The sequence below is a fragment of the Homo sapiens genome, chromosome 1 (assembly GCF_000001405.40).
Source record: "Homo sapiens chromosome 1, GRCh38.p14 Primary Assembly".
Classification (NCBI taxonomy): domain Eukaryota; kingdom Metazoa; phylum Chordata; class Mammalia; order Primates; family Hominidae; genus Homo; species Homo sapiens.
The window spans coordinates 164,531,495-164,547,646 of record NC_000001.11 but is presented as its reverse complement, the minus strand read 5'-3'; the positions used below and the strand labels follow the sequence as shown (position 1 = coordinate 164,547,646).

The 16,152-nt window shown below is 40.6% G+C and overlaps 1 pseudogene; it reads left to right on the top strand.

Annotated features, from left to right (window-relative positions):
• The first annotated feature begins 7,425 nt into the window (after positions 1 to 7,425).
• LOC124904759 (uncharacterized) lies at positions 7,426 to 7,465 on the top strand (annotated as a pseudogene).
• The last annotated feature ends 8,687 nt before the right edge of the window (positions 7,466 to 16,152 follow it).

Below are 16,152 nucleotides of genomic sequence, written 5' to 3'. Positions count from 1 at the left end.
TGGTCTTGTCCCTTCCTTTCTCTTCATCTATGAAGGGAGATGATAGTGGAAAATGAGAAGACCTTGGACTTAAGACTAGTTTGTGCTGGTGATACTAGAATGAACCCTGGTATACTATACTGACCATGTACTATATGCCAGGCACTTTCTAGTCACTAGTGGATATACCAGCAGTGGATGTGCCAGGCATGGTCTCTGCTGTCATGGAACTTATATTTTAATGAAACATACATGAACACAGCAAGAAGTCAATGTCAGGAAGTAATAAGTTTTTCAAAGAAAACAAAGCACAAAGGTATGAGTTGCTATACTGACTTAGCAACTCAAATGTTTATCATCTATGATGTTAAATGCAGTGCAGAAAAGATTTTCAGTCACATGGCAATTTACCACCAGAGTCCTAGACACAAACACAAGGTGAACAGCAGAGCCCAGTGCTTAGAGATCAAGCAGACCCTGGCTCTGAAACTCTCCAGTTTTGTGACCTTGGCCAAGTAAATTAACTTATCTAAACTCCCACCATTTTCACAACTTTTAAGATTGTGGTTAGTTTGAAATCAGATCACAATGAATGTTAAGCATTTAGTACAGTGCCTGATAGAGAATAAACATTCAATAAATGGCCAATTTTCTAATTCCTTCCATTACTCTTGGGTGGTTTCTTCCAGAACTGTATTATTTCTCTTTTGTTCTTCCCTGCCTTGGAGACCACTAATAAAATTATACTTTTCTTTCACGATTCCTAAATCTCACAACCCATTCAGGTAGTAACCTGCCTGTATAGTTTCTCTGTCTAGCCTCCATACCACACTTCCTTTCAGTTGAGAGACTGTTCCTGCTCATATTTAACTAAAGCAATTTATCTTACAGTATAGATAAAATATACATGTAAACCCCTGAGATAGTTGTAGAATCCCAAAAGGGAGCTTTATTTTAGGGAATCCCGGTTGTCACTATATCAATTATCTACTATTATATACCAAACTGTCCCAAATTACTGGCTTCAAAGCATAACCATTTTTAATTGCTCACAAGTCTACAGATCAGCTAGCTGGTTCTGCTGAACTGGGTCATGATGAGCTGAATGTATCTGTGCTTATTAAGACAGCCAGAAGGTGGGCTGGCACCTGCCTGGTTAAAGATGGCCTCACTTACATGCCTGACAGTTGGCTAGCTATGCGTTAGTCTGGGGCTACAATAGTGATTGGCTCCTCCATTTCTCAACATCCGTCACTCTAGCTTAGACTTTCTTACACAGTAGAGACAGAGTTCCGAGAGAGAGTGAAAGTGCACAATGTCTTTAGAGTCCTAAGCTTGGAACTGGAACATTTCCATAACATTCTACCAACAAAAGGAAGTCCCAAAGCCACCCTAGATTCAAAGATTGGAAAACGGACACCACCTATACCATCTCTTGAAGGTAGCAGCTACAAAATCACATTGCAAAGGAAGGGCTGAAGAATTGGAAACATTGGCCAGGCACGGTGGCTCACACCCATAATCCCAGCAGTTTCAACCTCCCGAGGCCTCCCTTTGGGAGGCCGAGGAGGGTGAATCACTTGAGGTCAGGAGTTCAAGACCAGCCTGGCCAACATGGTGAAACCCCATCTCTACTAAAAAATACAAAAATTAGTCAGGTGTGGTGGCAGGCACATGTAATCCCAGCTACTCCGGAGGCTGAGGCTGATTCTGGAGAATCACTTGAACCCAGGAGACGGAGGTTGCAGTGAGCCAATATCCCGCCACTGCACTCCAGCCTGGGTGACAGAGCAAGACTCCATCTCAAAAAAAAAAAAAAAGAATTTGTAGCATTTTTGAAATTCACAATCAGAATGGACCCTTGACCTCTTGACCTATGGCATTCTGATTGCCCTTGCTTACCCCAAGTATCCTTCCCCCCTTCTCTAGTCAGTGAATATGTGAAATTTAGCCTACTTTGGTTTGCCCCAGTAATATTAGCCAGGCTGCTCAGCTTCCTTCAAGTCTAGCTTCTCTGAATCACTATAATTTTGGAGCCCTTAACACTTCTTTTCCCCTGTGAAAGCGAAAAGTTGAAGGAGTCAGGAGAGGAGATGTTCAAAAGGCACTGTGACTGGAGAAAACAAGTTAACCTCTTATTTCCAGGTGACTCTACTCCCTTAGGACCCTCCAGCCTTCTTTTCCTCCATCTTTAGTACTTGTATATGAAAAAGATCAATAGAAACTGTAGCCAGTAAGAAAGCATTCCACTTTCTACATTTAAAAGGAAAATGTGTGGCTGGCAGGCCCAACTAGTTGTATACCCCTAACATACACTCTTCCCTACAAATCATGATGTAGTTTAACAGCAATGTACCCAGAGAACTAACTTAATCTCCCAGCTTCCTTGCATTTAGGTGTGATCATGTGTCTTAGTTCTGGGCAATGCAATCTAAGAAGCAGTTTCTTGGGCTGAACTTCTGGGAAAGCTATTTTTTTTTTTAGTGGTAAAAATGGACAGACTCCACATGTTCATGCCTTTTGCCCTTTTCTTTCTTATCGCTGCCTGGGGCACAAATGTGATATCTGAAAATAATAGTCATCTTCAGATCATGAGAATTAAAAGTGCTATTATGGATGGAAGAAGAGGAAACTACAAATGGCTTGGATCCTTGATTTCAAGGAAAACTATATGGATTCCCAAGCAATATGTAAAACCATATCAGTCCTTGACTACCCACCTCTGGACTTATTATATAAGAAAAATAATTCTGTATTTTCTGAAAAAACTGTGATTGTTCTACGAATACGTGTAGCCAAACACTATTTTAACCAACACAGCAACTGAAGTTGATCACAAGAGTATGAACTGATATTAGCAATACAAGTGGCTCAGAGAAAAAATAAAGAGTTCATTTTCCTCCCCAAAACAAGCTATCATTAAGAGTATGTTGCTGCCGCGGGAGGCAGAGCTTTCAGTGAGCCGAGATCGTGCCACTGCACTCCAGCCTGGGCGACAGAGCAAAACTCTGTCTCAAAAAAAAAAAAAAAAAAGAGTATGTTGCTGCTGGGCATGGTGGCTCACATCTGTAATCCCACTTTGGGAAGCTGGGGCAAGATGATTGTTTGGGCACAGGAGTTGATGACCAGCCTGGGCAACATAGCAAGACCCCAATCTCTACAAGCAATACAAAAATTAGCTGGGCATGGTGTCACATGCCTGTGGTTCCAGCTACTTGGGAGGCTGAGGTGGGAGGATCATTTGAGCCTGGGAGGTTGAGGCTGCAGTGAGTCATGATTGTACGTAATCCTGTACATGCCTGTAATCCCAGCACTTTGGGAGGCCGAGGCGGGTGGATCACCAGGTCAGGAGATCGAGACCATCCTGGCTAACACGGTGAAACCCCGTCTCTACTAAATATACAAAAAATTAGCCAGGCATAGTGGCAGGCGCCTGTATTCCCAGCTACTGGGGAGGCTGAGGCAGGAGAATGGCGTGAACCCAGCCGGCGGAGCTTGCAGTGAGCAGAGATGGCGCCACTGCACTCCAGCGTGGGCGACAGGGCAAGACTCTGTCTCAAAAAACAAAAAAAACAAAAAAAAAAAACAAACAAAAAAAACAAATTATCACAAACTGAGTTGCTCAAAACAATTTATTCAAGTTTTCAGCAAGGCAATGCTCCCTCTGAAAGCTCGTGAGAAGAACTTTCTTTGACTCTCCACAGCTTCTGGAAGCTGTTGGCAATCCTTGGCACACCTTGGTAAAAGGTGTGTCTTTCCAATTTCTGCCTTCATTTTCACACAGGCATCTTTACTCTGGATCTCTGTGTCTCCAAATCTTCCTCTCCAGTCACTGGATTTAGGACATTAGTCATTGAATTTAGGGCCCACCCTAATCCAGTATGACCGCGTTTTAGCATGTTTATAGTTAAAAAACATTCACAGGTACTGAAGGTAAGGACTACAGCATATCTTTTTGGGGACACAATTCAATGTACTAAACTCCAGAGCCTCCATTTTCTCTTCTATAAAATTAATACAGGCTGGGCGCAGTGGCTCACGCCTGTGATTCCAGCACTTTGGGAAGCCAAGGCAAGCAGATCACTTGAAGTCAGGAGTTCGAGACCAGCCTGACCAATGTGGTGAAACCCCATCTCCACCAAAAATACAAAAATTAGCGTGGTGGTGGGCGCCTGTAATCCCAGCTACTTGGGAGGCTAAGGCAGGAGAATCGCTTGAACCCAGGAGGTGGAGGTTGCAGTGAGCCGAGATCATGCCATTGCATTCCAGCCTGGGCAACAGAGTGAGACTCCATCTCAAAAAAAAACAAAAAACCTAAATAAATATAATACCAACCTTGAAGAGTTATGATCAATAATCAAGTAATGCCTAGGACCCAGAATAAATGGGTAATACATTATCAAGGCAGGATTTAAAAAGTAAGTACTAAGTAAAAGATTGGGAGGCTGAGGTGCGAGGATTGTTTGAGGCCAGGAATTTGAAACCAACCTAGGCAACATAGTGAGACCTCTTAGCTACGAAAATAAAAGCAATTAGGAATGGTGACACAAGCCTGTAGTCCTAGCTACTCCAGAGGCTGAGGTGGGAGAACCGCTTGAGCCTAGGAGTTCAAGGTTACAGTGAGCTATGGTGTGCCACTGTACCCTGGCCTGGGTGAAGACAGAGACCCTGTCTCTTTAAAAAAAAAAAAAAGACACATAAATACATATTGATAGACTCAGGAAGGGGTGGGGGTGGTTGGGTGATTGAAAGTGAAAGTTTCTGCTAACTATACATATTAATAAGATTCTGTCAATGGAAAACTCCATTTTTTTTCAAAGAAACTATAATATTCAGCCTAATATCAAGTGAATAAGAAAATATGAGGGCCAAATAGACACTAATGCAGTGCACAGCAGCAGCAGAGGCACTGCTCCTTGTGGAGCAGGGCTACCCTGTAGGCAGTGTGCCCAGAGGAGCAGCTCAGAGGCAATGCTGCACTCATATTTATACCTGTTTGTTATTACATGCAAATTAAGAAGTGATTTATACAGAAATTTCTAGAAAAGGATGGTAACTTCTGGGTTATCAGGTCGTTGCCATGGAAAGGGGTGGTAACTTCCAGGTGTTGCCATGGCAATGGTAAACTGAGGTTGTACACTGGTGCACGTGTCTTATGGAAAGCTGCTTCTGCCTCATCCCTGTTTTCGCAAGTTGTCAATTTGGTGGGATGTCCTAGGCCTGCCTCTGGAGTTAAGTCCCATGCCTACCTCAATATGACTTATTAAAGGTTATTAAGATTAGTATATTTCTAGAGTTCACTGAAATATATACTGCTGAAAAGTCTGATTGCCACCCGAAGATTGGCAAGGTAATTATTGCCTTGGAACTAAAGCATATATTTGGAATTATAACAAATTTATGGAAAGACTCCTTGCTATTGGTGCATTATGTCTTAAATTGGTTGCTGTTTTGTTTTGTTTTGTTTTGAGATGGAGTTTCGCTCTTGTTGCCGAAGCTGGAGTGCAATATCGTGATCTCGGCTCACTGCAACCTCCACCTCCCAGGTTCAAGCCATTCTCCTGCCTCAGCCACCCAAGTAGTTGGGATTACAGGTGCACGCCACCATGCCTGGCTAATTTTTTTCTATTTTTAGTAGAAATGGGGTTTTACCATGTTAGCCAGGCTGGTCTCGAACTCCTGACCTCAGATGATCCGCCTGCCTCGGCCTCCCAAAGTGCTGGGATTATAGGCGTGAGCCACCATGCCCGGCCAATTGGTTGCATTTTTTACATTTATTTATTTATTTTTTTCTGAGACCGGGTCTCACTCTGTCACCCAGGCTGGAGTGCTGTGTCTCGATCGCGGCTCACTGCAGCCTCCACCTCCCTGGGCTTAAGCAATTCTCCCACCGTAGCCCCTCAAATAGCAGGGAGTATAGGTGTGAGCCACCATGCCACTGGGCTAATTTTTTTGTATTTTTGGTAGAGATGAGGTTTTGCCTTGTGGCCCAGGCTGGTCTCCATCTCCTGGACTCAAGCAATCCACTGGCCTTGGCTTCCCAAAGTGCTGGGATTACAGGCATGAGCCACAGAGGCCGGCCTAATTTTTATTTTTATTTTATTTTTTAAATCAAAGTAACATTTACATAATTTAAGATGTCTAATTCTACTTTAATGCATTTAACCAAGAGCATTAGTCCTCCCTTTGTCCCTTTCACTGGAATCCCACTTCTCAGAGGCAACAATAACCTGCAATGCTAGCTACTTTTATGGTATTTTTTAAAATGGGCTCCTATTTCTAAATAGCACACTTACACTTAAATTGCTATTTCTTTCTCAGTTAAAACATTGTATTAATTTCCTACCATTGAAGTTTAAGAGTTAGCTGTCTTACACTACCCCTATTCTTACAGATCATCCTCCCCAACCTTCCAATACAGCTCTAGCATATTTTCTGTTTTAATCAGTACATAGTCCTTACTTCTCTTCTCTTCTCTTCTCTTCTCTTCTCTTCTCTTCTCTTCTCTTCTCTTCTCTTCTCTTCTCTTCTCTTCTCTTCTCTCTTCTCCTCTCCTCTCCTCTCCCCTCCCCCCACCTTTTCTTTCTTTTCTTTTCTCTTTTGTTTTCTTTTTTCTTTTTTTTTTTTTTTTGAGACAGGGTCTCAACTGTTGCCCAGGCTGGAGTGCAGTGATGCAATCTCGGCTCAGTGCAACCTCTACCTCCTGGGCTCAAGCAATCATCCCACCTCTGTCTCCCGAGTAGCTGGGACTACAGGTGTGTGCCACCACACCCAGCTAATTTTTATATTTTTTGTAGAGCTGGGGTTTTGCCATTTTGCCCCGGCTGTCCTCAAACTCCTGGGCTCAGGCGATCCTCCTGCCTCAGCCTCCCAAAGTGCTGGGATTACAGGAGTGAGCCACTGTGCCTGGCCTTACTATGTAAATATTTCTTACAGCTAAGTCTTGTGATCTAATAGTATGCTTTCATTTCTCTGTACTTAAAAAAAAACTGCAATTAGTAGTTGTCCTTTAAAAATTTTGTTTTCTTTGTACCTATCACTAATGTTTCTGAACCTTACAGAACTCTAAATGCCGTTCCACAGGATCAAATGCATCATGTAATCCATTAGTTCTAATTGCTTATTGAAAATATCTTTCTTTGAACTCTCCATACTTCTGTTCCAATCTGTACTGTGGCTTCAAACTGACATCCTGAAACTCCTCCCTACCATATCCTGGACACTATCTTTGCCTCCCTTGGATAGGATCCTCAGTTTCCTGGATCCCAAATTTTCCTGTTTCTTAGCTTAGTCCCTAATATTAATAGAGTACATGGGAAGGAAATTTTTGGCTATCTTATATATCTATATATTTATTCTCGATTGTTACCCTCATACTTGATTGACAGTTTGGTTGAGTATAGAATTCTAGATTGGAAATAATTTAGTGTCTTAAAAATTATTTTATAGTGTTACAGCTCTTTTAGAATTTGTCTATCAGGCCTTCAGGTTTTTTTTTTTTTTTTTTTTTTTTTTTTTTTTTTTTTTTTTGCTCGAAAGCCTCTAAAAAATAAAAGAAAATAAAAATAAATTATTTTGTAGTATTTAGTACATTTAAAATACTGTTGTATTATAAATATAAATTATGGAGCATAATAAAATAAATTGCCTTGCACGGTGACTGATGCCTGTAACCCCAGCACTTTGGGAGCCTGAGGCAGGGTGATACAGCTTGAGCCCAGGAGTTTGAGACCAGCCTGGGCAACAAACATGGTGAGACGCTGTCTCTATTAGAAGAAAATGTTTAAAAAAGCCTGGACATGATGGCTTATGTCTGTAATTCCAGCACTTTGGGAGGCCGAGACAGCAGACCGCTTGAGCTCAGGAGTTCAAGACCAGCCTGGCCAACATAGTGAAACCCTGTCTCTACCAAAAAATATAAAAGTTAGTTGGGTGTGGTTGCATGTGCCGGTAGTCCCAGCTATTCGGGAGGCTGAGGCAGGAGAATCACTTGAACCCAGGAGGCAGAGGCTGCAGTGAGCCAACATCACACCACTGCACTCCATCCTGGGTGACAGAGTTAGACTCTGTCTCAAAAAGAAAAAAAAATTCTCTTTATTCAATAACAAATTAACCATAGCTTACTGCAACTTTCAACTTTATACACTTTTAAATTTTCTTTAGCTTTTTGACTCTTTTGTAATAACACTTAGTTTAAACACAAACACATTGTATAGTTGTACAAAAATATTTTCTTCCTATATATCCTTATTCTATACACTTTTTTCTATTTTTAATTTTTTTACTTTTTAAACTTTTTGTTAAGAGCTAAGACACGAACACATACATTACCCTGGGCCTACACAGGGTCAGAATCACTGGTTCTACCTCCATGTCTTGTCCCACTGGAAGGTCTCCAGGGGCAATAATACACATGGAGCTATCATCTCCTATAATAGCAATGCTTTCTTCTGGAATACCTCCTGAAAGACTTGCCTGAAGCTGTTTAACAGTTAATTTTTTTTTTTTTTTTTTGAGGTGGAGTCTTGCACTGTCACCGGGGCTAGAGTGCAGTGGCCCGATCTTGGCTCACTGCAATCTCTGCCTCCCGGATTCAAGCGATTCTCCTGCCCTCAGCCTCCTAAGTACCTGGGATTACAGGTGCACACCACCATGCCCCGCTAATTTTTTGTATTTTTAGTAGAGACGGGGGTTTCACTATGTTGGCCAGGCTGGTCTCGAACTCCTGACCTCGTGATCTGCCTGCCTTGGCCTCCCAAAGTGCTGGGATTACAGGTGTGAGTCACTGCACCCAGCCTTAACAGTTAATTTTTTTAAAAAATAATTAGCAGGAGTATACTCTAAAGTAATGATTAAAAATTATAGTATAGTAAATACATAAACCATTAGCATAATTGTTTATTATCATTATCAAGTATTATGAACTGGATGTAATTGTATGTGCTATATTTCTATAGGACTGGCACCAGGTTTGTTTATGCCATCACCACAAAGACATGAGTACTGCATTGTGCTACTACGTTATGATGGCTATGATGTCACTAGGCTACAGACATTTTTCAACTCCGTTATAATCTTATGGGACTACCATCATGCATGTGATCTGTTTTTGTTTTTTTTTTTTTTTTTTTTTGAGATGGAGTCTCACTCTGTCGCCCAGGCTGGAGGGCAGTGGTGCAATCTCAGCTCACCATGACCTCCACCTCCCGGGTTCAAGTGATTCTCCTGCCTCAGTCTCCCGAGTAGCTGAGATTACAGGTACGCACCACCACGCCCAGCTAATTTTTGTGTTTTTAGTAGAGACGGGGTTTCACCATATTGGCCAGGCTGGTCTCGAACTCGTGGGCTCAAGCTATCTACCTGCCTCAGCCTCCCAAAGTGCTGGGATTATAGGTGTGGGCCACTGCATCCAGCTTATGCAACCTGTTTTTGTTGACCAAAACATCACTTTGTGGTATGTGGGTGTATATATATATGTGTGTGTGTAAATATACATATATATCTTCAAGTGTGTGTGCACTTGTGTGTGTGTGTATATAATATTTTGGTTCTGATAATTCTAATCTCTGGAATTATTGAAGTCTGTATCTGTTTTTTGTAATTTCTTTTCTTTTCATTTTTAGTTTTTTGAGATGGGGGTCTCACTCTGTTGCCAACTTCTGCCTCTTACAGGCTTGAGCCACCATGCCCAGCCAAAATTTAATTTAATTTAAATTAATAATTTAAGTAGCTACATGTGGCTAGTGGTAACCATATTAAATAGCAGACATCTACAGGCTAGACTTTTCCTTCTACAAAATTTTACACAATACTTCTCCTTCACCTTCCAAGCCTGCCTTCAGAAGTAACTAGTATTTTCCATTCCTGAGCCTTTTCTGGTTGCAGCACTAAAAGTCAACTTGCCTTTTGTTGGCCTGCGTTGACCATTTTCTTCACCAACTAAACACTTTCAACAGAATAGATAAACTTGAATCCTAGATGAGATAGCATTGATTCAAGCATTTTTCATTTTCTGTAATACGTTGACTTGTCTTATTTGCTATTTTCTTCTTTCCAATTCTGTTATTTTTTACATCCCTTCCTCTCAGTCGCCTTCCAATAATATTAGTATGGTTTTCAAAAGGAGTCATTGGAAAACCAGACTATGGTTTTTCAATTGACTTTATTTTTATACCTAAATAACTTACTCCTTGTTTTAGCTTCATTATCAGTTTAATTCAGAGGTGGCTCTAAGAATTTTTATCTGTCTAGTGACTGGGAATTCCAGATTGGGATCAGAAATGACCATCCCTCCATAGCAGGGTTTCTCAAAGTCAGCGCCATTGACATTTTGGGTTGAATAATTTTTTGTTGTGGGAAGTTCTCCTATACGTTGTAAAACATTTTGCACTGTTGCTGGACTCTACCCACTAAATACCAGTAGGACCCGCACATCCCTTCTGCCTTTGACAATCAAAAATATCTGTAGACCTTGGTCTAGAAGACAAAATCCCCTCCGTTGAGAACTACTGCTTTAAAAGGTTTTTAACTTTCTAAACTAGGCCATGCTTTATGAAGAATCCTTAAGTTAGCATTTTCTCAAATCCATTAAAATCACCTGAATATTCTGTTTGAGAAGTAGACTAGGAATCTTTTTAACAAACACCCTAGTGATTCTAATTTAGCTATTTCTAAAGATCACACTTAGAGAAACATTGCCCTAAGCTGACTACAACGTTATGTGAAATATCCCTGGGCACCATTAGAATGCTCTAGACATATAAGATTTCAAGGGACAGGTCAATGTATTGAGAAGATAAATATTTACTGGGTAAGAAATCATGCAAACTATCCAAGAGCGCTGCATGGAGCAAATCTAGTACAAACATTGGTGAAATCCCAGCAGTAAAGTCTTCTTTGTGTCATTGTTCTGGGACATGTTTGGAGCTGACAAGGGAGGTGTTGGGGACCTGTAGAAGTGAGTTCAATTTTTCTGAGTCCTTGATTTTCCTGAAGCTCACATTTAATAATGAAACAGGATCCCCAGTAAAGATGCTGCTGTGGTGTTGCCAATTACTTCATGCCTGATAGAGAAGCTGAAATGCCTCCCCATACTTGAGATTTTTTTTCTTTCCAGTTAATTGTTCTTCCTAAATTGAATGATCTATTTTTGGAACTGAAAGAGATGCAGTGTAGAGAGAAAGGAACTGACAAAGCCCAAGGCAGAGAAGGGAGGTAGACAGAGAAAATGCGGAAAGGAGAGAGTGATGCTATCTGCATCCATCTTCCTCATAACAAACACATAAAGTGAACAGGAAGGGCATTATCTCTTCCTAGGAGCAGGTGAATGAGACATGAGGGGCAGGATATTTTGCTTATGAAACCACAAACACATGAAAATAAAAAAATGTAAAATTCTAGAAATAGTTGTAACCTGGCGGTCTAGGTCTTAAAATTCACTGGGCTTTCCCTTAAAACTCTAGAGTGGGCCTGCATGTTCATGTCATCAAATCAGAAGAAGAGAAAACCTGCTTCTTTACTGTATTTCTTAATAAAACTTATTTGAAAAGCACCACGGCCTTAGTCTTGAAAATGTGGGAATGATTGTCTTATAGATGTGATTCTGAGAGTATTTAGCAGGACTTCTGATGCATTTAGTCCACATGCATGTTTGATGAAGCATATATACACACAGATGTGTGCATTTTTAATGAACTGAGAACCGTAAGTAATGTCCACCTTAGCCAGATTCATTAGCTATTATCAAAAACGTATTTGAAAAATAGTCAGCAAATACTGTGTCTAACTACCAGCGTGGCTATCAGCTTCTTACACTTTGCTGCTTCTATAAATAATGCTTTTGTTAACTCCAGTGAGTTCTTCTGATCCTCCTTCAGTCTGAGCATCATGCTCAAAGCTCTGGAGTGTGCCTACACTAGCCATATCTGCTGCTTCTGTTCTCCAGGCATTTCAATTGCAGTTACATTTTTAAAAGACCCTCTTTTGTGCTTTTAAATGCTTAGCAAAACTACAAAGAAGAACACGCATCATTTTCTTCAAAACACGTAAACTTTTTGGCCTGCCAAAAAGACTACACCAAAGACAGCCAGCCTGACTTTAAAATGCACGAGAAGAACAGAGACCTTTCAAGCTCCCATAAGACTGTGCCATTCTTTCCACCTCTCACTGGATATTTTAACAATGTATGCAGTTCACTCCTGAAATGATTCAACTAAGGAAAGAAAGAGGCTTCAAAGGACTGTGCACACTTGCCTTTCACTGCCATGAGGTGTCAGGAGAGGAGCTCCTGGCTGCCCGCAGTATCATTTTCTCCATGTCCTGCCATTTTAATGTGAGCGTCATGTGGATAGCATATCCATATTTTTCTGTGTGTCTAAGCATTTGATTTTCATCCACTGTAATAGCAGACTCTAACACCACAGGGTGGGGAAGAATGAGAAAGGAACGATCCTGGGAATTATAGCATTCAATCAAACAAGCTATGCACATCCTTTTATGCCAGCTTGTAACACAAAAGTTGTAGAACTAGAAGATTGCTACTTTCTTCCTCACATAAGTAATTGTGCAGGCTGATCAAACAAACCTCTGTTTGATCTTAGATCATTTATTCCAAACTCAAACTCTGATAAGCAGAGATAAGGTCTTATAGTGTACTGATAATGTGCGCTTCATAACTAAGCATGCCTGGATTCAAATTCTGGTTCCATCTGGATTTGTGCACTTTGGGAAAACTGAGTTACCTTGAGCCAATAACTTAACCTCTTTATGCATGTTTACTCATCTGTAAAGTGGGATAATAGTAGAAAATGCCACTAGAACTATTGTGCACATGAAATGTGTAGCTGTATGTAAAATCACTTTTTTTTTTTTTTTTGTAGACAGAGTCTCTCTCTGTTGTCCAAGCTAGAGTGCAGTGGTGTGATCTCAGCTCACTGCAACCTCTGCCTCCTGGGTTCAATTGATTCTGGTACCTCAGCCTCCCAAGTACCTGGGACTACAGGCGTGTACCACTGTGCCTGGTTAATTTTTGTATTTTTAGTAGAGACGGATTTTAGCCATGTTGGCCAGGCTGGTCTCGAACTCCTGGCCTCAAGTGATCTGCCCAGCTTGGCCTCCCAAAGTGCTGGGATTACAGGCATGAGCCACCTCACCCGGCCTGCAGCTATGTGTAAAGTCACTTAGAATGGTCCTTGTCTGTGAAGCGTGAGAAATAGAAGTTGTTAGAACTGTTGTTATCAGTGTTAGTATCATTTCGTTATACATCCAGAATTATTGACAATGATGTGATAGATCTGATTCTAGCTAATTCTGAAGCGAAATATCAACATTCAGGATGGGTGCTGTCCCTTTTCAGCACAAAAGTACTCAGACAGCTCAGACTTGTCAAATCCTTCCAGAACCTCTCTTGGTTTTATATTGACAGGAAGTTCCTACAGGTATGGTTATACAGAATACATATCTAGATTGGAAGATGGAATATTTTTTCTAGAAATGCCCCATGACACTCCATTTTGAGTGAGTTCTTTCTGGGAGTCTTGCGGAAGGAAGAAATAGGTGCATTTCCACTTATTTGGATGTGATTCATGTAGTGTGGGATTATTATTCATTTCTGTTATATAATGTGACCATGTTTTTGGCCCAGGAGTTTAATGGTATTTCTGGCACATAGGTTGTCAAATATACTGCTAATTGAATAATCAACTCCATTATGTTCTTCTGGGTCCATAGGCAGTTACAGTGCCTCTATCTCTAGTACTATCCTGTCTGTATTTTAGATGTAGGAAACAGCTGCACTGAAACCATCCCTGTGGCTTATGCTTATCTCAAAATCTGGCTTGGGGAAACTCATTGGATTATTCTCTATAAGTGAGAAGAAGAGCAAAAAGATAGTCTTCATATATTGAAAGTGTATGTATTCACTGAATATTTATTGAGCATCTACTATGTGTGTAAGTCACTGTGCTTGCTACTGACAATACAATGTTGAACAAGATAGACCCAGTATCTGCCCTTAAGGGTACATGGTGGAAGAAACAGACATTAAACAAATAATTCTATGATTTTTCAAAAAAATTAACAATTGTGGAAAGTAGGGAGACGGGGATATGTGTTGCTCTGTGAATATGTAACTTAAATGTCAGACCTAATCTGAGGGGTGAATCAAGACCTGCCTTAGAGAAGGAATGTTGAGCTGAGGTTTGAAGGATAAATAGAAGTTAATTAGACAACAAGCAAGGGAGAAAAGCCTCTTCTAGGTAGAAGAAATAGCATGTGCGTGGGCCATGACATGGCAGAAGCAGTGAATTTAATGAAGTGAAAGAGGGTAAGTGTTGCTAGAGTGTGGAGGGAAGGGCAGAGGAATGTAAGATTGGGAAAGGAAGGCAAAGGTGAGCCAAATAAGGACTCAAGGCCATGGTAAGGAGTTTGATCTTTATCTAAAAACAATGAGAAAACATGAAAGAGAGCGACATGATCAGAACTGTGTTTTTAAAAACACTGGCTATCGTGTAGAGAAGGCCTGGAGAGCTGAGAGTTTGGATATAGGAAAACTATTTACTAGTCTATTAGTTTCGGTGAATTTATTAGACTGATAATAGCAATATAGACAGATATCAATTTTTTAAATTGAGAAATATTTATGTTGTGAAACTGAAAAGGCATTGGCGATAGGAGTAAGATAGAAGGAGGTTGTAAGCTCAACTATTAACTGGACGTTTGGTGGCGATATTTACAAAGTTAGGATTCATTGCAAGAAAACCAAGTTGAGTGAAAAAGGAACGGTTTAAATTCAGTTTGGAACTATTAAATTGTGGAAACTTAGCAGTGTTGTTTTGTAAATTGTTAACAACAGGCTTTCCAATAAGAAAAAAATAAAAAGCTCAATGGGTAGCATTTGTCAGTTTCCATGATGTAAATATTCTCATCATGGCAGATTTCAACCTACCAGTGTGATGGTGCTGAACATGAAGGTGTGAAGAGATTCGTGCAGTGGGATCCCAGGCGCCAAGGTAAGCTGGCTTCAGCACATTACTGACACTGAGATATGTAAAGGGAGATGTCGAGAGGAGGTTGAATGTATAAGTAGTGAGCTGAAAGGAGTGGTCCAGGCTGGAGTTCGGATCATCAATGAGTAAGTGATAACCATGCAGATGAGACTGCTGAGAGTGTACTTAGTGAGAAGAGGAAATGATTACTGGGACTTGGGAAACCAAGATGTTAAAGTTCACTGGAGAAGGGCCAGAAAGGAAGAATAATTCTCAGAGAGTGGACTGTTTGATGAGACATGGAAAGAAAGAGTTTTGAGAAAGATAATTTGGTCAACGCAGTTAAATGTTGCTGATAGGTCAAATAAGACAGAGGCTGAAAAATTTCCATTAGATTTAGTGACAGAAATTATTAGTGAGTATAATGAGAGCACTTTTCATAGCGTGGTGAAGACAGGAGTCAGACTAGAATGGTTAGAAAAACAAAAACACAAATAAATTGGAGAAGATGGTGCTATTGAATATAGAAAATTATTTTGAGATGTTGGGCTATGACGGAAGTAAGAGATTATTTGTAGCTATCAACTTTAGGGTTTGGGGCAGAAAGTTGATCCAGGTTCTGTTTGTGCTTTATTATTTCTTCTTATTATTAAACAAGAGAGATTTGAACATGTTAAATGCTGATGTCAAAGATCCAGCAGAGAGAGGGAGGTTGCCAATAGACGAAAAAGTTGACCTTTTGAAAAATCCCTCTTCTTTCATTAGCTTGGTCACTCCTGAACCCCTTACAAATATTATACACATTCTCATCTTATGCCTTTCCTTAAGTTATTTTTCTCTTTTACATACGTTTGTCTCTACAAATTTCACTTAGCCTAAACACCAGGCTTATGTCTTTTCTCCTCTATGAGGATTTCTTTGATTATTCCATCATACCCTGATCTTTTTTCTTTTCAACCCTAAATTGTAAGCAACAACTAGGCTTTAAGTTCAGTAAACCGGAGGGACAGAAGAAGATATTAGTTATCTAGGGGCCACGGTCAAACCCTTTTCTCTGGAAATTTCTTAGCAGCCCTATACAAAGTGTGGGCCTTGGTGGCCACTTTTTTTTAACTTTTAAAACTGGCTGGCCTGGCATGGTGGCTCATGCCTGTAATTCCAGCACTTTGGGAGATGAAGGAGGGAGGAC